Below are 23,954 nucleotides of genomic sequence, written 5' to 3' on the forward strand. Positions count from 1 at the left end.
AGAGGTGGCAATTCGGGCCCGCTCTGCCTCCCACCAATTACGTTCTTTGGAAACACACTTAACTGCCTAAGTCAGTTTTAGATTTTTATTTTATTTTGTTTTATTTGAGACGGAGTCAGACTGGAGTGCAGTGGCGCAATCTTGGCTCACTGCAACCTCTCAGGTTCAGGTGATTCTCCTGCCTCAGCCTCCCAGGTAGCTGGGATTACAGGCACACACCACCACACCCTGCTAATTTTTGTATTTTTAATAGAGACAGGGTTTTACCATGTTGGTCAGGCTGGTCTCGAACTCCTGGCCTCATGTGATCCACCCGCCTTGGCCTCCCAAAGTGTTGGAATTATATGCATGAGCCACCACACCCAGCAGTTTTAAAATTTTAATACAGTCATCCGGTTACTGTACATTTCCATGAAATACACTTCTATAAAATCCTTGGAAGCAATTTCACCAAGAACTCGCTATCACCTTGATCAGTCCCTATTTATTTAAGTCTATCATTATCTTATCTTCTGGAACATTCTGCAACAAGCTGGCTTGGCCTTCTTTCTTCCTTGATAACTCAGCCTCTCTAGGTTAAAAATCTCTTTACTTGAGCTTTGACTTCTCCCTCCTACTTTCATTTAAGTTTCTCCTTTGTGCTTTAATGTCTGTGTTCTTCATGACATGTGTGGAAATAATGATTTGATTCCTAAAGATCAGTAGCCTTACTCTTCTCGAAGAGCTTTCTTTGCTGGTTTTCGTTTGTGTTTGTTTTGTTCTTAGCATGTCTGACTACTTTCTGGCGTCTTAAAAAGAGAGCTGCGCTTTTCCCCTTCCTCGAGCCCCACTTTTGTTACAGTGTTAACATCTTTCTAATCTGATGGGAGTTGCCTCATCCTCCCGCGGCCCCTGCCAAATACATCAGCTTGATTCTATGACTATCTATTACTTGATTATATTACTATACACAGATGTCTTGCTTTGACACATCGCACACTCTCGTTTTCCTTGCCCATAGTCCTCGCCGATACTGGCTCATTTTCCTTTCTTCAGCACATTCCGGGGCGTGATCACTTACAGTAAAAGCAGCGTTTAGAACTCCAGTCCTCTAAACCCACTTGAAATATTTGGATTCACGGTCCTGTTGTGTTTGTTTCCCAAGCTAGAACATTTTCTCCTAAGATACGCCTGAGATTCCTTCCTCAGGGCATAGTTTATACATATAGGACCCAGAGTTTTGCAACTCGGGGCAGCTGTTTTTCCCAGTGGCCGGCACCTTGAGCCCCAAACCTGATTCATTCTCCTGTCATACAGTTTCCTTTCCACCTCCTATGAAGATGGCACCAGGGTCTTCTCTCCCCAAGCCTTCTCTCTGCAAAGGGAAGGCCGCTACTGCTCACACCTCGACTTCTCAGGGAGCCAAAGCTGCTCCGTGGAGCTCTCAGTGGAGACCCGCCACGCTTCCTGCTGGGACATCTTACGGGGTGACAGAGCCCCCGCAAATGCCGATCTGCCACGCCCCATTAGCAGAAATACCTGTTCCAGCTTCTAATCCCTCTTCTCCGAAGAACTGAGACCAGGCAGGAAGCTTTGGGGTCTGGGAAAGGACACGCGGGGTGGGAGACAGGCATCCAGCTGGGAGTGGGCGTCAGGCCCCGCCCGCCCGTCTCTCACCATCAGGGGTGTGATTGGACCAACCCCGAGCCTCCGCCTCTTTCTTCCCGCAGGGTGAGATCTCACACAGAACCTCCTCGGGCTCCACGCAGAGAGTGTCTGCGGCCTGGCAGGAAACACGGCCCGTGAACTCCTTGGCAGCGGAACTTTGCCGACACCACCCTGAGGTCCTCAGGCCAGGCGCTGCGCTGACACAAAGTGGCCTCAGTGCGCGCTAGTTTGATGAATGATAGCGAAAGGATGGCTGAATGAATGCATGCACGAATGAGTGGAATACAAAGTTCTGCCAGCGTTTAAAGTCTTTTCCTGCCCCCCACCCCACCCCCCACCGCTGGTCCATTCTGCAAAACAGAGTCCACCTTCTCTGCGGATCCGAAATGCACGTCAAATCTTATTTCCACAAATGTGGCTGCCTTCGGGTCTGTGCCGGGACGCACCTCGGTGGAATTCATACTACGGTTCCCATGGAGAGCTTCCTGCCCTGGAGCCTGCGACCCGCAGCCTCGGAGCCCCTGCTCCCCGCTCCCCTCCAAGAAGCCGTGTGTGACCTCTAGTCCTTTCTCTCCTTTCCTCTGCAGGATTCTCCGCCCTAACCATCGTTCCTTCAGGACTCCCTGGAGCCAGGAATGGCAGGAGAATCTGGGAAAAGCAAGCAGCTCCAGAGAAGCCCTTTCTCCTCCCCGTTCCTTTTGGTTTCCTCCCTTCTTGCTTCCAGTTCTCTATCGTGTCTTCTTCCTTCCTCACCCACCAAGCTCCCCTCGCGCAGATGCTCACCCGTGGCGTGTCCTCAGCCAAACCGGGCAGAAAAAGCTCAGAGCTTCGCACACCCCGTTTCCCTTATTTCCTCCCTAATGGCCTTCTTCACTGAGTTCTCTCGGGCCACGCACCCCTCACTCCCGCCCCTTCCTCGCCGTGGGCACCTGCCACCTTTCCGAGGGCGTCCCCGCGCGGAAGCAGCAAATCCGGCCTTGCGCTGGCTGCAGTGCTCAGTCTCCGGCGAGGGCCTTTCCACCTCCTCCGTGCGCCTTTGGAGATGAGGTCGGAAGCTGTCTGTTCTCCTCATTTTACACATGCAGAAATGGATACACAGAAACACCAAAAGGTTTGGACTGAACCGTGTACCCCTCAAATTCATAGGCTCAAGTCCTGCCTCTCCATGGGATGGTATTTGCAGGGGGTGAGACGGGGTCATGAGGCGTGGGGCCCCATGGAAGTCATCTTACAAATGAAAAGCGTACCCCTAATAACACAAAATAATAGTGACCATTTATGGAGATCTTATGACGTGAGAGGCCTGACCACTCTTTGGAGTCCTCTCGTGTCTTAATTCATGTCACTCTGGTCACCCTCTGACCTGGACGCTGCCATGGCGCCCATTGTACACATGAGGACCTGAGCCATGACAGCTGCGATTTGCATGATGCATATGAAACAGTTGAAAGCAGACGTGGGGAAAGGAAGGAGGCCGGGTGGCCTGGGCTCCTGCCCCTCACCTTCCTTTGCCCCCACGAACCTCTCGAAGGACTTCTGCAGAAACCAAGGGTTTCGAAGAGCAGAGTTTAAAACCACAGCAGTAAATAACTAAGGCAGGGTCTGAAGAAATGATGAAATGGGAGCTGCACTTTGCCGAATCCCTTTGCCTGCTTTAAATCTCTCATCAGGGTACTGAGCCCACGCCCTAAACCCTCCTGCCTTCTCCACACATCCCACGCTTACCCGCAGGCAACCCATTGTCACAGGGAAGCTTGAGCCACATGTGTGGGTACAAACACATGCACACACACGTGCATGCCTTCCTGTATTAAATGCTAAGGTTTTCTTCTGAAGCTTAAACTTCAAAGGCTGGAATTGGGAACAGAAGCTCTTCCTGCTGCTTGGGGAACTCCTTATCCTTCAAAGAAGATCAACTTGTTCTCTGGGAGATAATTATCTTGCCCCTTTGGTTGTGGAGGCTTAAAGTAACAAACTGTCCAACTTAGCTAATCATTGAATGCATCTTGGTATAAAAAGATCTGTAGCATGTGGCTAAGCCCCTCAACGACATCCCCCTAGTACACTTTTTTTTTTTTTTTCGAGACAGAGCCCCACTTGGTCACCCAGCCTGGAGTTTAGAGGCAGCATCTCGGCTGACTGCAATCTCTGTCTCCTAGATTCAAACAATTTTTCTGCCTCAGCCTCCCAAGCAGCTGGGATTACAGGCATGTGCCACCACACCTGGCTTATTTTTAGTAGAGACGGGGTTTAACCATGTTGGCCAGGCTGGTCTTGAACTCCTGACCTCAGGTGATCTGCCCACCTCAGCCTCCCAAAGTGCTAGGATTACAGGCGTGAGCCACAGTGCCCAGCCCATATTTTCTGTCATTTTTTTCAAAACGTCAAGCATCAAGTTTGAAAGGTTCAGTGGATCATGAAGCTATCCCAGAGCGAACCCCCCATTCTTCCTCCCCATCCCCCTGCCCCCTCTCCTCCCTCTGCCTCTGTCCAGACCCTTCACTTGCACCTCTCACCACCCACCACCCCCCAGCACAGGCAGGGGCAGTGAGTGAGCTCACGGTGGGCTGTCGGGGAAAGTTCCAATCGCTGCATATTTCACAAGAAATAGCCCTTTTCCCAGGAAAGTAATAAGTCCAAGAATAGATTTTTACTATTATTATTTGGCTGCTTTTATCATGAGACCTATTACTGGTCTGCTTTGGTTTAGGGCTGATCCTTTAATCCGGGTTTAATCCCGCTTGCTGTCAGGAACTAAGCACAGGCCACGTTAATGCCTCTTACTCGGCCCTTTGCAAAATGCATCCATGGAGGTGCTCAGCAAGGCTCCAGAGCTGACCTCTGCAGCCGAGGCAGCCGTAGAACTCCACTGTGCTGAGAAGGCAGCTCTTGCACGGCAGGATAGCCTGGGGCTACCTGGTGCAAACTGCAAGACCTGACCAGGATGGTCTCCGTACAATCTCACTGTTTGGCTTGGGGGCCCGTGGTGCAGGTGAGGCCCCCAACCATGCAAGAGGACCGCCTCTACGTGATGGCCAGGCAAGAGGCCGCGCAGGGCCCTGCAGGCTCCGGGAGCATGCTTACATGCCAGCTTTTTACATGATGATCTATCAGATTTCAATTAAACCAATCACTGCTCTGTTCCAGAACAGTGATCTCCTCCCTGAATGTCGACTCCAGCCCTGCCCGGGACACAGCCCTGTGTGAATCTTGATGGGTCACATGAGACAGAACAAAAGTCACCCAAAGAGCTGAGCCAGGCAGCACATCTGGAGGAGGCTTTCAAGAGACAGTGGGAAAGGAAGGCCCAGGGCCCATGCTCCTGCAGAAAATCCCTCCATCTGCGGGGAAGCAGTGAGGCTGACCGAGAAAGGGTGCTTTCACCCCATGGTCAATGGGAGTTGGAGTATAGAGCAAAGCATATCAATTGTCAGGTCAATCCGGGCCTTCGGAAGCAAAAGGAAGCCGCTGTATCTGGTCAATTTCACGAGCAGGACACAGATACCATTGCGGTCCTTACACACGTTTCATCAGCATCTCCAGTAGTTCATGTTCACGTCCTCCATCTCCGTTTGGTTGCTGTTGCACATTGGAGTGTGAACTGCAAAAATCCCCAAAAATCCCAGATCGACAGCATATCTTGTGCAGGCCCTGCAAATCCAGGCACATCTGACAATTTCCAGAAGACTGGAAGGGAGCTGTGATGGAAAGTCGCTGGTAGGAAATTTTGATGCTGGGAACAAAGACCCCAAAGTCCAGTCAGGCAAACAGGCCAGATGAAAAGACGGCCCAAGACAAGAAGTAGCCAAGGAGTTTGCTCTGTGATGGGTTTGCTCTGTGATGAGTTGTGGGGGACACGGGGTGTCCTAGCAGATATTTTTAAATTCTTCCATTTGTGTGTTTCCCAGGTGATCCTACAAGTCATGCGAGGAACACCCTCCCACTAGTGGGTGAAGGTCGAGGTCCTGACGAAGTGCCGCTGGCCATACTCCAGGAGCGGAGCCACTCTTCCAGGCTTCTCCTTCCACCTCTTTCCTGACTCCCCCACATCCTCTCTCCACCTGGCTCCTCCAATCTGCCCTAGTTGGGCTGTCAGCCTAACTTTCAAATTTGGCTTTGAGCCTGGAGTGTCTTTCCGACCTCGACAGGTTCTTTACTAAGGAGAGAAGTCCTCTCTTCCCCTGAGACCTGCTGTCACTTATCACCTCGGCAGTTTCCTGGCCTCTCTCTAAGGAGCCTGCACCAGAGTCCCTGGGTGGTGGCTGTAATAGAAAGCTGGGGGTGAACACTGCGATGTACCAGAGGGCTTGCAGGAAGCTGGATGCGTGAGTCCATGCCTCCTGAGGCCTACACAGCACAAATGGTATGGGGGCAGGTTCTCATTCTTGCAGAGACATGAACAGAAGAGAAGCCTGGTGGTCGATATCCACAGGTGCCAAGGTGTCCTGAGGCGCCGAGCCTTAGCAGCTGCTCCCAGGGGCCAGCATGGAGGTCTCCAGCCACCACCGAGCCACATGGCAAATGAGGACAGTGGGGAAGAAAGAACAGACAACCCAGGCAAATCAAACAGGCACCTGGGCAAGGCCATGTGAGGCATAGCATGGAATTTTTTGAACCAGAACTTGAAGGAAGGATGAGGTTCCAACAATCCTTTCGCCATTGGAGGCAGAGCTGCTCTTTGATGACAACAGGATCCTCCTGTGCTCTGTTTACTTAGCAAATACTGATTAAAGTCGGTGAGGCAGAGGACCTGTCCTATCTAAGGAGGCTTGACGGGGAAAGAAGTCGGAAACGGCCCTGGCTCTTATGAAACTAAGATAGGAAGGAACTAAAAGAGGGGGTAAAACAGAAGTGATGGGAGGAGGCAGAGAGTTAATTAAAAGTGGGTATTCAGGGAAGCCCTCATGAGGAAATGGAATTTGACTTTCAACTGAGTGACAGGGAAGGGTGAGCACTTCAAGGTTGGGGGCAGAGTGTCCAGGCAGACAGGGGACTCATGTGAAGTCACAAAAGTGGGAATCAGAGTAAGGGTGTTGGTCAAGGAGCAGAAAGTAGGCTGGAACATAGTCTTGAGGGGTCAGTGATGGGATCATAGTGAGGAAGGCAGGAAACAGTCGTGGATGGTGAAGAGAAGCCTTTATAGGATTTTGAGTAAGAAAAGACATGCATTGAATATAACACAAATAGGGAGACCACTTATGAGGCCGTTGAATATTCCTGCCTCGAGGTGATGGTGGCTTGGTGCACTGGATGAATAAAGAAACATTTTCAAAGTAGAGATGAATGATTGGTTTAGAAGTGCAAGAGGAAGGGAGGAATTAAATATGACTCCAGGGTTTTGTTCTGAACAATTGAATTGTTTTTTAAAGAGATGGGAAGACCCAGCTACTCAGGAGGCTGAGTTGGGAGGATGGCTTGAGCCCAGGAGGCAGAGGTTGCAGTGAGCCAAGATGGTGCCACTGCACTCCAGCCTGGGCAACAGAGCCAAATTCTGTCTCAAAAAGAGAGAGAGAGAGAGAGAGATGAGAAGACTAGAGGAGGCAGGGATGAAGGCCAAGAAGTCTGCTTGGTTACATTAGCTTGAGATGGTGATTAAACACGCAAATGGAGGTGTTACATTGGCAGCTGCATACATGAGGTGCTTAGCAGAAAAGGTGGAGAGAGATATACGCTACGAACAAGACTGTCTTGATACTTTCCTGCACTGAAAGCCATCTAAGGCAGGGCCAGTCCTGGCTTCTGTTGTCTGTTTTGCAGCTTCTGGACAAGACGGTCAAAAACTGCATTAGTGATGACCACAGAGAAGATGGAAAGGGAGGCTAGCTGTAGGAATCGGAAGATCTAGGTCCCAGTCCAAGTTTTAAACTTGCTAGTTGTCCAACTTTAATTCATATTCATCATCTGTGACATGGAGACATAACACAAAGGATAGTCAGCAAATCCATGTCTTACATTATAAATGTAACCGTGAAACAGTAAAAGAACGAACATAACTAACTCCATTTTTGTTTAAGGGGCCTTTACCCATTCCTGCACAGATGCTAGGATAATTTTAGAGCACCGAGATAATACATAAACACAGAAATCATGTAGTTTTTGAAACTCACTCTGAGATTAAAAGTAAAGCATATAAACAATTAACTATGTGTTGTTAAAGATTTACAGGAGTCCTTGCATGTGTTGTTAAAGATTTACTATGTGTTGAAACTATATATAGTTTCAACACATATATAGTATATATACGTATATATACGTATATATGTGTGTATATATATACATATATATGTGTGTATATATATGTATATATATATAGTTCAAAAACTATAGTTTTTGAAACTCACTCTGAGATTAAAAGTAAAGCATATAAACAATTAACTGTGTTGTTAAAGGTTTACAGCAGGTCCTTGTGACCTCACCAAGGACAAAAAAGTTCCCAAACTCCTCGGACCCTCACGGGCACCCAGATGTCTGCAGTCCTCAATCACCTTTTGATGCTAATCCTCCCTTCTTCCCCATATCCCCCTCCCATAAAAAAAAAAAACAAACCCCGACGAGCCTGAAATTTTTGAGATGGTATAATGGTTTAGAACACTAGCTCACCACCATCTCCTTTATTTGCTGGCTCTCCAGATAAACCTGCTTTTCCTCCCACCAGCACTTGTCTCTTGAGTCCAGCTTTCAAGCGGTGAGCAGCCGAAGCTGGGTTCAGTTACATAAAAGTGCTAATATTTACACTGGGGAGGAAGGAATTTGATGAGCAGGTGTTAGGGCTGGTGGATGGCTTTATCAAGGAAAAGAGAGAGCGTTCAGAACTACTCAGCCACACCCATTCCAGCAGGGACACAGGAATGGAACTGGCTAAAGATTGGAGAATCTTCATATCTTTATATCACCCAGCAGGAGAGGCACATTTAAAAGGACACTTAACAAATTCTTCTTAACAAAGGCTATTACAACACCACTTCATGGGGGGAAAAGCAAATCACCTTGGGCCTTCTGGCTTTAGGGTTTCTAGTTTTCAAAGAAAGCAGCTGCAGTTGGTGTGTGTGGGGGGTGGGGTAGGGGTTCCTTCTATCTGTATCTATTGGATTCTTTGTTAATACTATTCTCTGCAAGGCCAGCACTGTCCCACCACAATTCCAGAGTCCTTACCTGATGCCTGCAGCCCAGGGAATTCTACACCCAGTTCACACTCCTGAGTCCCAGCACCCCAGGCACCTGGCTCTCAAAGCCTGTTCCATGGATCTCTTTGGGAATAGGGTGTCCCAAGACCCTTACTGAGGGCCTGAGAGGTCAAAACTTTTTCACAATAAACCAGTGTTTTTTCCCCTTTTCACTGTGTTGATATTTGCGCTGAGGTCAAAAGCAACAGGGGTAAAACCAGTGCCTTAGCATGAATTAGGAACCCTGTGCTAGGCATCATGACGCTCTCCACTCCACATTGTCTCATTAAACAAACAAACAAACAAAAAAGCTGGTTGCACTTAAAAATATCCTTGGAGCAGCAGAATTATTTTTATTAAATTTCAAAGCTTACTTGTACATTTTTAATAGTCTGCTGATATTGAAGTGTGATGATTGTCATGAGGAAAGCATTGTGTGATTGACTAAATGAGTAGCAAGGTGAGCTTTTTTCATGGAACATCTTTTTTGTTGGAAAGAACAGCGGATGGACAAACCATGATCACTCAGACCTAGTATTTGGCAGACATCTTTTCGAGAATGGATGAAGTGAGCCTGTCACTTCAAGGAAAACAACTGACAGTATTTGTGGCCATTAAAAATTTTTGAGCTTCTGAATGAAAATTGGAATTTTTGAAATTTTGTATTTGTCACCGTGAACTTGAGCCTCTCCAGTACTTAGCAGCTTTTCTAATGAGATTGGTGGTGACATTAATGAATGTGTGTTTTTTTTTTGAGACAGGGTCTCACTCTGTCACCCAGGCTGGAGTTCAATGACATGATCACAGCTCACTGCAGCCTCGATCTCTCTCCCATGCTCAAGCAATCCTCCTCCTGCCTCAGCCTTCCAAGTAGCTGGGACTACAGGCACACACCACCACACCTGGCTAATTTTTCAATTTTTTGTGGAGACGAGATCTCACTATGTTGCCCAGGCTGGTCTTGAACTCTTAGATTCAAGCAATCCTCCCACCTCGGCTTCCTGAAGTGCTGAGATCACAGGTGTGAGCCACCATACCTGACCTAATGAATGGGATTTTTAAATGTTATGTATGTAATTGTTCAACCAGTGAACCAGTATTTTCCAAGTGACCAATGCATGGCATTACAAAACCATGCACAGGTAACAGATCTGTTCAAAGGGCAAAAGAAACCAATGGATTTTCATTTAACAGTATGAAAAGGTCTCTGACATGGTCTCAGATTCCACACTGCAACTCATCTTTCAGAAACTACCACTTGTCAAATTTTGATGTAGTATCAAAGAAGAATATCCACAATTTTTTGACAAGACTATTCAAATGCTCCCTCCTTCCCCAGCTGCATACCTGTGTGAGGCTGGGTAATCATACACTCCAAAACATTTTGCCACAGATTGAGCATAGATGCAGATTTGCTTCTGGAAAGCCAAGCATGAAAGATATTTGCAAAACTACTTTGTAAAACGCTACTCTTCTCCCTATTCCTTGTCTTGGAAAATACTGATTTTTCATTTAAAAATGTTGTTTTTCTTTAACTTTTATTTTAAGTTGAGGGGCACAAGTGCAGGTTTGCTGCGTGGGTAAACTTGTATCATGGGGGTTTGTTGTACAGATTATTTTATCACCCAAGTTTTTTTTTTTTTTTTTTTTGAGATGGAGTCTTGCTCTGTCGCCCAGGCTGGAGTGCAGTGGCACGATCTCTGCTCACTGCAAGCTCCGCCTCCCTGGTTCACGCCATTCTCCTGCCTCAGCCTCCCAAGTAGCTGGGACTACAGGCCCGGCTAATTTTTTGTATTTTTAGTAGAGACGGGGTTTCATTGTGTTAGCCAGGATGGTCTCGATCTCCTGACCTCGTGATCCGCCCGCCTCGGTCTCCCAAAGTGCTGGGATTACAGGCGTGAACCACCGCACCCGGCCTGATCACCCAAGTATTAATGGCTAGTACCATTAGCCATTTCTCCTGATCCTTTCACTCCTCCCACCCTCCACCCTCCAGTAAGCCCCAGTGTGTGTTGTGTTCATGTGTTCTCATCATTTAACTCCCACTTATAAGTGAGAACACGCAGTATCTGGTTCCTGCATTAGTTTGAAAGAATAATGGACTCCAGCTCCATCTCTGTCCCTGCAAAGGACATGATCTCGTTCTTTCTTATGGCTGCATAGTATTCCATGGTGTATACGTACCACACTTTCTTTATCAGTCTATCATTGATGGGCATTTGGTTAATTCTATGACTTTGTTATTATGAACAGTGCTGCAATGAACATACGCGTGCATGTGTCTTTATAATAGAGCAATTTATATTTCTTTGGGTATGTACCCAGTAATGGGATTGCTGAAAAATATGGTTTTATGTGAACAAGTAATGGGTTTATTTCTATTAAGTTATAAATATATAAAAATATACTTAAATATTTAAATATTTCTTGGTTTTAGTTGCAAACACAGTATATATATATATATATATATATCCCACATAAACACAAGCTCTTTGGAGTCCCCAATAATTTTTAAATGTTTAAATGTATCCTGAGACCAAAATAATATCTATTCTGTAGGGAAAGGAGTTGCTATATTGGGGTGAGAGGCTGCAGGGAGAGAGTTAAACAGAAAATAAAAAACATTCCCTCTGTCACAGTTTCCCAACCAGCGAGTTGCAACAGTATGGCCCATCGTAAGGCGGTCCTGGTCCTCTGTGAGTCACTTTGCACTAAGCAACGCTGTTTAAAATTCTGAGTCCTCTTTTTTTTTGAGACAGGGTCTTGCTCTGTCTCCCAGGCTGGAGTGCAGTGGCACGATCTTGGCTCACTGCAACCTCTCCCTCCCTGGTTCAAGTGATTCTTCTGCCTCAGCCTCCCAAGTAGCTGTAGCTGGGATTACAGGCACCACCCACCATGCCTGGCCAATTTTTGTACTTTTAGTAGAGACCTTTAGTAGAGGTTTCACCATGTCAGCCAGGCTGGTCTCGAACTCCTGACCTCAAGTTCAGGCCTGCCTCGGCCTCCCAAAGTGGTAGGATTATGGGTGTGAGCCACTGCACCTGGCACTGAGTCCTCTTTCAGTGTGCCTTTTTGAGAAGGACATTTAGGTAAAAGCTAATGTTTGAGCCACAGAGCCATGACCCAGAAACCAGCAGTTACCTGTTGGCTTCTCATCCTGGTCGTTGGTCAAGTGGGCAGGAGGTATGACCGTATTCCTGTCCTTGTCCATCAGGGCACTGTCTCAGGCCAGGTTTCCCCCTGATGCCATCCGGGGCTCTCCAGAAGACTGTGTCAGCCACATGTCCGAATCCCTTGGTGCTCCTGTCTCCTGTGACTGTCCCTGTATTCCTTCATGAAGAAGTCTCTCCAGCCCCTAGGCAGGGAAAGTAGAAGAAAAATGCTTCATAGCATCTTTTCCACTAGATGGTCACTCTGGCAGTCAAATAGGGGGTGTGGTTATTGGCTATTAATTATTCTGCTTTTCTATACATAATAATAGCTATGCTCACCATAGTCTCATATCTCTGAGAGATATAAAGCTGACAATATTACCAGGCCCTCCACATTACCTAACCTCAGAGAAAGAGAAAGAATATTGGGAGTTCAGTAAGATATGGAATATTTTTTATCAGGGATGGTTTTTGAATCTTCAGTCATTTCCCCTAATAATAGAAATGATATATGGCAAATATAAAACATTTTTAAATGAGCAAAGATACTACATTTATAAGAAAATTAAAAGCACTTATAATCCTATTATCCAAAGTATCCACTATTAAGAGTTTGGTACATGATTATCTAGGCGTTTCTTCTGTGAATGTATATAAATAAACATATATAAATGTTTAATACATGAAATCATATCACATATACAGTTTTCTATCTGCTTTTTAAAAATTTTCCATGGAAACCTTTCCATTGTTATATCCTCATCCTCATTTTAAAGGCTGTGTATTATTTCATGGTGTGGAGGAAATTTCAGGTATTTGTTACTAACCTGCTATTTTTGGGTATTCGGGTGATCTAGAGCGGAGATATTTAAATATTTTTAAAGTGCGTTTGGGATATGAATTCTAACACTCAGGCATCAGGCACCAGTGTACAATCAAGAGCCCTTCTCAGAAGGTGACAGAAGGTCCCCATGTCCCAGAATTAGCCCCCAAAAAACCCCAAAATAAAAAAGGGACCTTGATCCCCAGCTGAACTTTTCATGGGGTGACCTTGAGCAAGCTGTGTGTGCAGCCTTTGCTGGGTCTCCCCACCACAAAAGAGATCTCCAGAATATTCGAGGAAGGGCGGGGCTCCCAGGAGCAAAGCACACACTCTTTCTTGCGCAGCCCCCTGTGGACAGAGCTGTAACCTGGGCCCAGGGCATGCTCCCAGCCTGCAAATGGAGATGCTGCCTCATTTTTCTCTCTAAATCTAAACTTTATTATCAGCCCCTCTCCTACCCCAGGGAGTCCTGGCCAGCCCATCTCCCCACTCCCCTAGAGCTGTTGGGGTGTGAGGTCTCAGGCAAGGCCGAATATTCTGGGGTGAGAAAGGAGGGGAGGGTGGGATCTGGTCACCAAAGTGTCACCCACACACGTGGCTTCCAAGATGCCCATCACCTCGTTCCCTCCACGCCACCCCTGGGCCCCAGGGCTCTTTGCCAAGGCTGCCTGTGGCCACCACATCCCTGAGCCCTGCTGCTCTGGGGTCCACAAACTTCTCTTCTAAGGAAAAGATTCCATGGGGATGGAGGGATTCTTCAACCTTCCTGCTTCCTCCTGCCCAAACCCTCAGGACACAGGCTTTGTGGGAGCCCTCAGGTAGGAAGGAAGGTGTCTTGCAGGTGGCTTCAATTTTCCCCCTACCACAGACCCCCTCCAGACCAGAAGGACACACTTGCCTCTACTTGAATAGAGAAGGGAAGGAAAATCAGAGAGAAAAAAAATGAATATCCGAGCCCTTCTCCTGCCATAGTCTCTCCTCGGCAAGTCCAGGTCCTCAAAAGGACACTTTCTTTCCCTTTCCGGTCTCTACCCCACCCCCACACACCCAGCAAAAAATAGAGTGGGCTCCATGTTTCTCCCCCAGTGTGGATTTCTTGGATTCCCACAGGTGAAGCGCCTGCTCCTGCCTCTCTGGGGGTCATGTCTCCAGGCCCCCTGGGAGTGGGAGCCGAGTCTGTGCTGTGAACACCCCACTATCCCCCTAAGCGGGTCTCCTCTGGGAGAGGCCGCTCCACAGCCCCAGCTCCATGCTGCCCGGAGCTCCTGGGGCAATGTGGACCAGAGAATGATAGTGGGACTTCCTGGCTGAGCCCTTCAAGGTCTCCTTTGTCTCTCCTCCTTGTCCCCTCCCTCACAGGCCTGCAGCCCCACTGATCATCTTCCAGCCCTTGGCCCTGCCATGGCCACTCCGGCCTAGACAGCTGCTTCTCAGCAGGAGGTCTGTCCTTGACCAGGCTGAAAGGTGACCTCGGGGTCCTGTCCATCACCACCTTGTATGTCCATCAGCATTTATCAATAATCCCTAGTCACCTTGTTTGCATTCCTCGATCAGTTGACCTGCAAACTAGCTGTCTTGCTAGTTAACCTCACGAGGACTGGGGGTGGCTTGCCGGTCCCACTGTGTTCCCAGCTTCCAGAGTGACACTGCACCTAGTAGGCACTCAAATATCTGTGAAAGGGTGGATGAGTGAATGGGTTGGAGGAAACCCCTCCCTATTCATGTCCATTCTGAAGATAAGAAAACTCGCTGCTTCTACCTGAAGGGAAAACCTTCCTCCTCCAAAAACCCTCCTGTTCTATATGAGGCTTTAGAAACCAAAGGCAAGGACGTTTCTTTCATCTGCCTTTCATCCTGCAAAAAGCCCTCCACTCAAGGGAAGAAAGGGCACTGGAGTTTATTGAGTGGGAGACAGGCGGCAGGTGGGAGACGGGGAGGGAGGAGAGAAAGGGAAATTCAGGAGGAAGGAGTCCAGCGTGGATTGCTCCAAAGCTCACCCACCACGCCCTGACTGCAGGTGTGATTCGGGGCCCCCGTGGCTCTGCTGGGTCCAGGTGCAAGCAGGCACAGAGGTGCTGGCGTCAGCTCGATTCGCAGGCCCTGGACTCCTGTCTAAACAGGACAGGCCCGGGCAACCGCAGGGCAGGGGCGTCTGCCAATGATGGGGGAGGACTCTGCTGCTTCTTAAGCTCCAGCGTCTCAAGCCAGGGCGAGACAGCCCGCCGGCCGCCCGGATCTCCACCTGCCACCCCAGAGCTGGGACAGCAGCCGGGCTGCGGCACTGGGAGGGAGACCCCACAGTGGCCTCTTCTGCCACCCACGCCCCCACCCCTGGCATGGCCGACCAGCTGACTGAGGAGCAGGTCACAGAATTCAAGGAGGCCTTCTCCCTGTTTGACAAGGATGGGGACGGCTGCATCACCACCCGCGAGCTGGGCACGGTCATGCGGTCCCTGGGCCAGAACCCCACGGAGGCCGAGCTGCGGGACATGATGAGTGAGATCGACCGGGACGGCAACGGCACCGTGGACTTCCCCGAGTTCCTGGGCATGATGGCCAGGAAGATGAAGGACACGGACAACGAGGAGGAGATCCGCGAGGCCTTCCGCGTGTTCGACAAGGACGGCAACGGCTTCGTCAGCGCCGCCGAGCTGCGACACGTCATGACCCGGCTGGGGGAGAAGCTGAGTGACGAGGAGGTGGACGAGATGATCCGGGCCGCGGACACGGACGGAGACGGACAGGTGAACTACGAGGAGTTTGTCCGTGTGCTGGTGTCCAAGTGAGGCCGGCGCCCACCATGCTCCTGGGCGCCCACGCGGCCCACAGGGCAAGAACCCGGGGCCTCCCGCCTCCTCCCCCATCCCCCTGCCTCCCCTGGGCACTGTGGCTTCCTCCTGCGCCTGGTTGATTCAGCCCACCTCTCTGCATCCCGCTTCCCGCGTCTCTTCTCTGCACTCCTGCCGACCTTCCCACCTGCTCGTCTGAATGACACGGAACGCTCCCACTGCAGGCAAACCGTGACGCCCTCCCCACTCGGGAGAAGCAGAGCTGACCTTAGGACCGAGCACCAGGGCAGGTTGCGCTGACTCTGCGGCCCTCCAGGACGGACACCGGGTGACCCCTTAGGGCACCCAGGCAAGATCCCTAAGAGGCACCCAATGCCCAGGCCAGGGGGGCTGCAGCCCTCAGCCCCCGCCAGGATTCCCGCAGGCTCCTGGACTGGAAGCTCCCTCCGCGGTCGGATTCTGGAGGGTGGGAGGCATCTTGGCCTGCAGTAAGCGGTGCTGACGGGGACTCTGGCCACAGAGGTCAGGCCTCCTGAAAACAGCACTGCCTTCCGCGCTGCCCCAGCTTGCCCCATTCCTTGTCCGCCAACCCACCGTGATTCATCTTCTGAAGCTGGGAGTGAAACTGGGTCAGCTGTAACCTGTTCCTATTCATCTGGAAGGAGGGAGGCTTGGATGAGCAGGGGATGAGAGCTGCAGGGAAATAAATGAGATATTCGTCCTTATTTCATTTCCTTTTTTTTTTTGGTTTCCATGGAAATGATCCTTGTTAAATTCAGGGTTGAAACGAGGCAGGAATCTCCATTTTTGTGCTTTTTGAAAATGCAATGAATTCCTATACGGGGGAGCGGGAAAGGTGCCTCAGAGAGAGACAAGTCTGGATGAGGGAAATATTGAATATTCTCAATCAAATGGATACGCTGGCAGCAAAGAGTGGTTAAAAGTCCATCAGGACTTGAAAGACCTGAGTCCATTACGTTGAGAAGGGACCTGCTGATTGCTTTGATTCCCCCTGGCAAGTGCTCCCTGGTTGTGAAGTGCCAGGCACTAGAGATGGTGAGGGGTTGGGGGGCAGTTGGGCACACACAGTGTAAGAGCAATTCAGAGCCGTTAGTCCTGCACTAGCCCTGCAAGCTGCTGGCAACACCTAGAGAAGGTCGAAGGGGCCCTGCCAGAGATCCCTTCAATTCTAAAGGGAGGTATGTTTTGCGGGATGGGCACTAGACGGAGCTCATCAGAAAAGGCCATGGTGGATGTATCCTCTCTCCCTGACACCCCACCCCCGCCCACCAACACCCAGTGTTTCCTCCTTTGTAAAACAAAGAGCTGGGCCCCAGCCCCGGCCTTGCCATCATCACTGCACCACTGGGACCTCCAGGATGACAGGACCCTCATGCCACCTGCTTGGGCTCAGGGCACCATCAAGCACTTGGCCTGCATAGACAATTGGCACCTCCCTATGGGGCAGCCACTATTATTACCTTCCTCATCTTACAAACGAGGAAGTGGAGACACAGAGGGCTTTAGAAAGCAGCCCTGGGTCCCACCAGTGGGTAAGAGGCAGACCTGGGATTTCAGTCAGGTCTGTGCCCTGACCACTCAGCTACAGGTCTGACACCAACCTGTGCCTCCATCATGGTAACTACGGTAGCGCCTCTCTCCAGCACTTGTGAGGAGCCAGAACAACATTCTTAACACACCTGGCATGTAGTAGGTGCTTAATAATGGCAGCTACTGTTACCATCACCTTCAAGATCCCTTCCTGCTCTAATACTGCAAGACTGTCCAGGGTAGTCACCCCTCTCCATAGCTCGAGAACAAGACAAGAGCAGAAAGGGGCAGAAGCAGGTGCTCTGGGGCTGGATTCCTGAGGGGATGCTGGATGGTGGGGTGTCAGGTGAGCACTGGCCCAGGGCCGGTGTAACTGCAGGTACTCCTGTCAGGGGAACAGAAGCAGAGGGCAAGCTAAGGCTCAGCTTGCTGAGCAAATCCCCACCCCTCCCTGCCACTCTCAGGAGTCGGGGTTGATTGGACACGTCCTGGGGAAGATTTGGGAACAAGCCTCATAAACACATGGACAGAGTGTCTAGAGTTCATTGGGCAGCAGCACCCCAGGGGGTGGGGGGCTGTGAGCAGGAGGGGCAGGCAGAAGCCCCCACATGGCTGCTGACCGCCAGGCAAAAGGAATAGTACATCAGGCCTGAGTACCTTTTGTAGAATGTCTCCTAAATTCTGCAGGAAGGAGAGAAACCAAGGTCTCCCTGCACAGGGCATCTTTGTAGTCACTGTCATACACGTGGCTGAGGTTTGACATCTAAGCCCCTTCTTCCCAGGTGCAGGCTTGAGGCTCTTACAAGGGTTGGGACCTACGCACTGCCAATGCCTGGGCCAGGAGGGCACGCCAGTGTCTTTATTTGTCTTCCTCCCAGCCTCCCAGCGATTCCGCCAGGGCAGGTCTTTTTGCAACCCCACACACCAGTCATTCTGGAGCCACCTGGGCCTGGATTTTGCAGGTGCTGGGAGCCTTTCATCAAGAGCTCTTTGTGCTCAGGCAGGCACTGGCTGGGGTGGTGGAAAGGTCCTACCTGCTCTCAGCTTAGAACTGGCAGCCCCAGATCCTCCCTGAGGGGGAGTCCTCAGAAGCAGAGTAGTAAGTGGAGGTGTCTTTTTTTTTTTTTTTTTTTTTGAGACAGAGTCTGGCTCTGATCCCCAGGCTGGAGTGCAGTGGCGTGATCCCAGCTCACTGCAACCTCTGCCTCCCTGGTTCACGCCATTCTCCTGCCTCAGCCTCCCGAGTAGCTGGGACTACAGGCACCCACCACCACGCCCGGCTAACTTTTTATGTTTTTAGTAGAGATGGGGTTTCACCGTGTTAGCCAGGATGGTCTCGATCTCCTGACCTCGTGATCCGCCCGCCTCAACCTCCCAAATTGCTGGGATTACAGGCATGAGCGACCGCGCCTGGCCGGAGGTGTCTTCTTTATACAGACAGAAGCCAGAGGCAGCAAGGTCAAAGTGCGTCCTGTGGCAAAGGTGAATGACCCCTCCCCTCCCCCTTGGTGTTTAAACACATTTTTTTTTTTTTTGAGATAGGATCTTGCTCTGTCACCTAGGCTGGAGTGCAGTGGTGCAATCATAGCTCACTGCAGCTTCAACCTCCCAAGCTCAAGTGATGGTCCCACCTCAACCTCCCGAGCTCAAGTGATCATCCCACCTCGACCTCTAGAGTAGCTGGGACTGACGCGTGCCACCATGACCCACTAATTAAAAAAAAAAAATTGGAGGGGTGAGGTCTCTATGTTGCCCAGTCTTACCCAAACTCCTAGCCTGAAGTGATCCTCCTGCCTTGGCCTCCCAAAGTGCTGGGATTACAGGCACAAGCCACCGTGCCCGGCCCTGAATATGATTGTTCAGTAACATCTTCTGTCTGCCCTTCTCCTTGAAGCTGGGTCACTGCCCTCACCACAGTGAGCACCGTCTGCTGCCACATGGCTCTGCCCCCTCCCAACCTTCTGTGTTGGGGTAAGGAAGACCAGGCCAGAGGGGGACGCAGCTCTGACAGTGCTCTCTGGCACGGCTCCTTCTGCCTCACGGGGCGTGATGCCCAGGGAACCCCCTGCCCTCACCAGCAGACCCCAAACCCACAGTATGAATGCATCTCTCACCGGGCTAGCATTGCTGACCTCCACGGCATGGCATCAGCTACTCTGACTCAGTTCACCCACGGCAGTGAGTGTGTCCTCTCACACAACAGCCTCGGGATCCAGGTCTACCTAGGTCACACCTGGGCCTGTCTTTAGCTTCCTCCCCATCTCCCCTTATCTTATTTTCCCTTCCTTTTTCCCACCCTGGTCAGCACTTCCAAAGAGCCTGCCCCAAACCCAGATGTCAAGGTAAACTTTTTTGTTGGTAAAATGTGGTCACTCCAGCTGCCAGGGGTGGGTGCTCGCCTGTTGGACATAGGCAAGGGGAGGCCTGGGGGCTGGAGCAGGAGGAAGGAGCCACCCAAATGGGCAAACAGGGTTCTCCAGAGGGACCCAGCCCTGCGGGTGGAGCTTTCTTCCACCCTGTGTTTTTCTGTGGCAGAGACTTAGAGGCAGTTGCCCAACTGGCATATCCCTTTCTTTTCAGTCATTGAATAACCTAATTTAAACAACCTGCCCTCAGCCCCCAAAAAGGTGCAATCTGACTGCAGCTCAAAACAACATTCCAGCCATCCTAGGGGAAAGGAATTTATAAATATTACCTTGGCTTCCATGTGCTTTACTGAGCTCCCTCATAAATCAGGACTTGGGGCTCCTGCACTCCCAGACTATATAAAGCTCGCCTCTGACTCCCGTGTTTCCAATTTTAAATCGAATGCAGCCCAGCCCTGCCGGCTCCTGTTTATCCTCAAAGATTCCAAAGGCCTGTTCAAAGGCTCCCAGAACCAGCCAGCTAAAAATGACCCACGGCTTCCGCTAGAGAAATGTGGTATCAAAACTCGTGTATGGGGTGAGACTGCTCCATGAAGAATGGTAGCAATGGGGAATATGAGTTGTGTTTCTCCACCAAAAAACAAAGCTACATAAAGTAAAACAAGACCAAAAACCACCTCTGAGAAAGGTCTGGCCCCAAACCATGTGTCAATCTCCTCACCATCTTGCTTTTCTGGTAGTCATTTCCATAGCAACAGGTTCTCAGGGGTCTGGACTGGGCAAGAAAGGGAAGTGCCTGGGAAAGGCCTCCTCTGAGCCCTTTCTAACAGGGACAAGGCTGGGTGCTGAGTACTGGGTGGGACAAGCACCTTCCTCAAAGTGCAGGGAAGTGAGAAGCTTTAAATAGACCTAGAAACAATGGCAGGGTTTCCATAATTGGAGGAGAAAGTACCTATCGGAATAATAACAGAAGGAACCACATGCAGTCCCCTAAACACCTTCTTCAGGTCTTTCACGTCTTGTAGTGTGTGCGAACTACCCGGGAGGGGAAAGGAGCCAGGCTCTTAGGGAACATAAGGAGGGGAACATCTGAAGGGTGAATAGCAGGTGGGCCTAGGCCTCAGAGAGCCAACTGGGTGGCCCTGCACACCTTGGGGAGCTGAACATCCAGGGAGTGACTTCCTGAAGACTGACCACATGTGGCCCTGCTGGCCCATGGTGAAATTCATCTCCTGTCATCACTAGCCAAACCAGTCTCACCTATAGCCTACTGCACACCTGAAGACTCTGGTCTGAAGGCCCCCCATGATAGAAGCTCAGCCTTCACTGGGGCACACTGTCGGGAGGCACCTGTCTTGCATTTCATTAGCTCCTTTAATCCTCCAAACAAGTCAGTGCAGTAGCTTGTTTTAGCCTGTTTCAGAGAAGAAAAGACGAAGACTTTGAGACTTTGAATAACTTATCCAAGGCCATACATCTAGTGAATCAGAGTTTGACCCTGGGTTTGACCGACCCCAAAGCTCACACTATTCCCACTGTGCCAGAGAGGAGTTCTTAGAGCAAGGAGCCTGAAACCGAGAGGCGCTGAGCTCACAGAGGCGGTGAGTGCTGGAGAGATCTCGGTAGGAAAGGCCTGGAAGTGGGAAACAGCTGTCAGGCAGAATTTGTCTGGGCAGAGAGGACCTAGAGAAAAGAAAAGGAATTGATCGATGCCAGGAATATCCAGGAGCCACAGGACCCCTTGTGTCTGGGTGTGGGCATCTGCAGAGGGAGTGCTGGTGGACTGCCCACTTGCCACGTGAGACGTGATGTCTCACTGCCCCTCTGGCCCAGCACTGGACCCCATGCAGGTGCTGGGGCCGCTGCAGTCCCAGAAAACAAGAGGGAATCCTGCAGTGGGCACATCTTTGCGACAGGAGGTCCCAATCCGCTCCCTGCTCCACACACGCGCATCTGTCTGCAGCCAAAGTGCTACACGAACCTTCACCATTCATTATTGCAGAGCAGCTGGGAGGTGTTGGGCTTCTCAGCTTCTCATCCAAACTCACATCTCGGGGTGCAGGTGATGGGCAGTCAGAAAAAGCCACATGACCCTACTATGGTTGAATTGTGCCCCCTGCCTCCAAAAACTCATATGTTGAAGTCCTACCAACCAGGACCTCAGAACATGACCTTATTTGGAGATAAGTCTTTACAGGGATAATCAAGCTACAACGAGGTCATGAGAGTGGGCCTTCAGCCAATATAACCTTGTCAGGGTGGGACACGTGGACACACATGCCCAGAGGGAAGACAGTGTGACGACACAGGGAGAAGACAGCTGTCCACAGGCCCAGGAGAGAGGCCTGGAACAGCCCCTCCCCAGAGTCCTCTGGAAGGAACCCACCCTGCCAACACCTTGACCTTGGACTTCCAGCCTCCAGGACTGTGGATGAGACCTTCCTGTGGTTGAAGCATCTGATCTGTGGTGCTTTGTTATGGCAGCCCCCAAGCATCCACTGTAAGGGGGTCAGGTGTATTCACGGCCTCTCTCCCTGCTCCAAGGTCCACAAGGGCTGCTGGGGACTTGGTCCAGAGCCGTCCTTTGTCTGAGTCCAATTCTGACTTCATAGTGACTCCCCGGGGGATGCAGGGAGTCAGATCCACTTGATTCTGGAGAGGATCCAAGGGTAAAGGAAGGAGAAGGAGGGAAATAATCCCTTGAATATGGGAAACTGTCTTTTGACAAATTCTGGTGTGTCTTTCCAGACCGTAGATGCGTGGGTGGGATTCAAAGTCTGGCCCTGCCGAGGAGCAGCGGAGCATCCCAGGAAAGCCCCTGCTCTCCCAACCCCAGTTCTGCTGAGGAAGTGAAGGATCCTTGGAGGCGGCACAGCCATGCACAGGGTGTAACCGCCTGGGATGCAACCTGGGCATGAAGACAGCACAGACGTGGTACCGCAGGGCCCGAGGCTGGGTGAGAGTCAGGCTGAGATCAACGTTTGGGCTTGTAGACGCCTAGGTTTGCACAGCATCATAGAGGTTATCTGGCCTAATTTCCCATGCAGGATGAGAGGCCTATGAGTGATGACATCGTAAGCAATGGCAGGTGTGCACGACCTTGAATGCGACCATGGTAGGGAGGTCAAGGCAAGTTGCCCAAAGGTTGGAAAATTGCTATCCCCGGAAAGCTTTTCCTTAAACAGGTCTGAAAGGTGCCTCCATGTAACTGCCCCCACTGGCCCCTTTATTCTCTCTATGTTTGTGAGAGTCTAGAGCAGCAGCCCCTCTCCATGTGTCCACGTATTTGTGCCTCCGGCAGCAGCAGGTGCCTTCATGCTCCACATGGCCTCCTCTCCTCTCCAGGCTCTGTCCAGAGGTTCTTACCTGACAGTGGGTAAGGTTCCTCCCTTATCCCCCAGTGGTGGCTCAGCTTGGGACACGTGTCAGCTTCTCAGAGTCCTCCTTGAAGATGGGACCAGTGCCTGTGGCCAGAGCTACTTCCCCCTGCTCTGAATAATACAGCATTTGTAAGAATAAAGCTAGTGGCTCAATGCAGACTCACATTCTGCGATGCTGCTGAGTGCCGGGCATGTGCTCATGTGTGTGAGCTTCAGGGGATGCCAAGAGAGAAAGACTCACACATAACAGGGGAGGTCAGTGAACAGACGAGGATGAGACACTCACAAGGGCTGGGAGAGTGCCCTGGAGCCAAGAAGAGGAGGTGTCTGCCATGGCTCAGCACATGGAGGGAGCAGAGTGGGTACCGGGAAAGACTCCACAGGGAAGGGACTTGTCCGCCAGGTCTGCAGGGAAGCCAGGCCAAGGCGGTGTCGGGTGTCCCAGGCTGAAGCACAGTGTGGGAAAAGGCACAGGGCCCGAAGCAGGCCTTCTTCTCCTCTTGAGCGACCACTTCCTACCCATCCTGATGCCCTTGATCCTGACATCAGATCCTCTAGGAAGCCCCTCCTGACTTTCCAAGCCCTGACCTCCGGCCTCAGGCTGGTCTGGAGACCCTGCACCTGCACATCCGGAACCCGGGCACTCACCTCGATCCATTCCCATGAGGGTTTCTTTTCCGCCTTGCTCCCCACCGAAGCATCAGCTCCTCTTGCTAGCGTCTTCACAGCCAAGATCTAAAGCGGAACCTGGCTTAGTGGCCGTTTGAGTGCGTGTGTGGACTGGATGCATGGGGCAGCCTGGTGTGCTCTGGGAGGAGATGCTGGCGAGGACGGTGGGGAGATAGGCGTGCTGGGCAATGAGGCCCACCCACTGCCATCCTGCGGAGCCTGGGCTCAACTCCAGGGGCAGTGGACAGTCATGGGTCACACGTGTGAAGGAGGTGGATGGGAAGCACGCTGGCAGCTGTTAGGGGATGAAGATTAGGGTCAGGGTGAGACAGGGAAACTCATTAGGAAGCCTGGGAATGGCCCAAGTGAGAGATCTGGGCTTGAAGCAAGGTTGTAGCAACTGGGAGGGAACAA

At 50.8% G+C, this 23,954-nt stretch overlaps 1 protein-coding gene and 1 long non-coding RNA gene across 3 annotated transcripts, besides 2 other annotated features; one reads left to right on the forward strand and one right to left on the reverse strand.

The window, feature by feature from the left end:
- Positions 1-4,279: 4,279 nt before the first annotated feature.
- On the reverse strand, positions 4,280-16,282 carry CALML3-AS1 (CALML3 antisense RNA 1). 2 transcript variants are annotated; one of them, NR_120496.1, is made up of 4 exons: positions 16,169-16,282; positions 14,345-14,456; positions 11,952-12,165; positions 4,280-7,548 (listed from the first exon to the last, which is right to left on the reverse strand). It is a non-coding gene; the product is annotated as a CALML3 antisense RNA 1 (long non-coding RNA). The 2 variants fall into 2 exon arrangements; NR_120497.1 differs by lacking the exon at positions 14,345-14,456.
- CALML3 (calmodulin like 3) lies at positions 14,997-16,807 on the forward strand. The gene has a single exon (NM_005185.4). The coding sequence runs from the start codon at positions 15,122-15,124 to the stop codon at positions 15,569-15,571; it is 450 nt and encodes a 149-aa protein (NP_005176.1). The 5' UTR covers positions 14,997-15,121; the 3' UTR covers positions 15,572-16,807.
- Positions 15,302-16,001: an enhancer, noted in NCBI's record as "H3K27ac-H3K4me1 hESC enhancer chr10:5567229-5567928 (GRCh37/hg19 assembly coordinates)". NCBI's record gives its function as "activates a minimal SCP1, AML or CMV promoter by ChIP-STARR-seq in primed H9 embryonic stem cells {active_cell/tissue: H9 hESC(primed)}" and the evidence as "EXISTENCE:reporter gene assay evidence [ECO:0000049][PMID:30033119]".
- Positions 16,002-16,702: an enhancer, noted in NCBI's record as "H3K4me1 hESC enhancer chr10:5567929-5568629 (GRCh37/hg19 assembly coordinates)". NCBI's record gives its function as "activates a minimal SCP1, AML or CMV promoter by ChIP-STARR-seq in primed H9 embryonic stem cells {active_cell/tissue: H9 hESC(primed)}" and the evidence as "EXISTENCE:reporter gene assay evidence [ECO:0000049][PMID:30033119]".
- Positions 16,808-23,954: the final 7,147 nt, after the last annotated feature.

The sequence above is a fragment of the Homo sapiens genome, chromosome 10 (genome assembly GCF_000001405.40).
Source record: "Homo sapiens chromosome 10, GRCh38.p14 Primary Assembly".
NCBI classification, from domain to species: domain Eukaryota; kingdom Metazoa; phylum Chordata; class Mammalia; order Primates; family Hominidae; genus Homo; species Homo sapiens.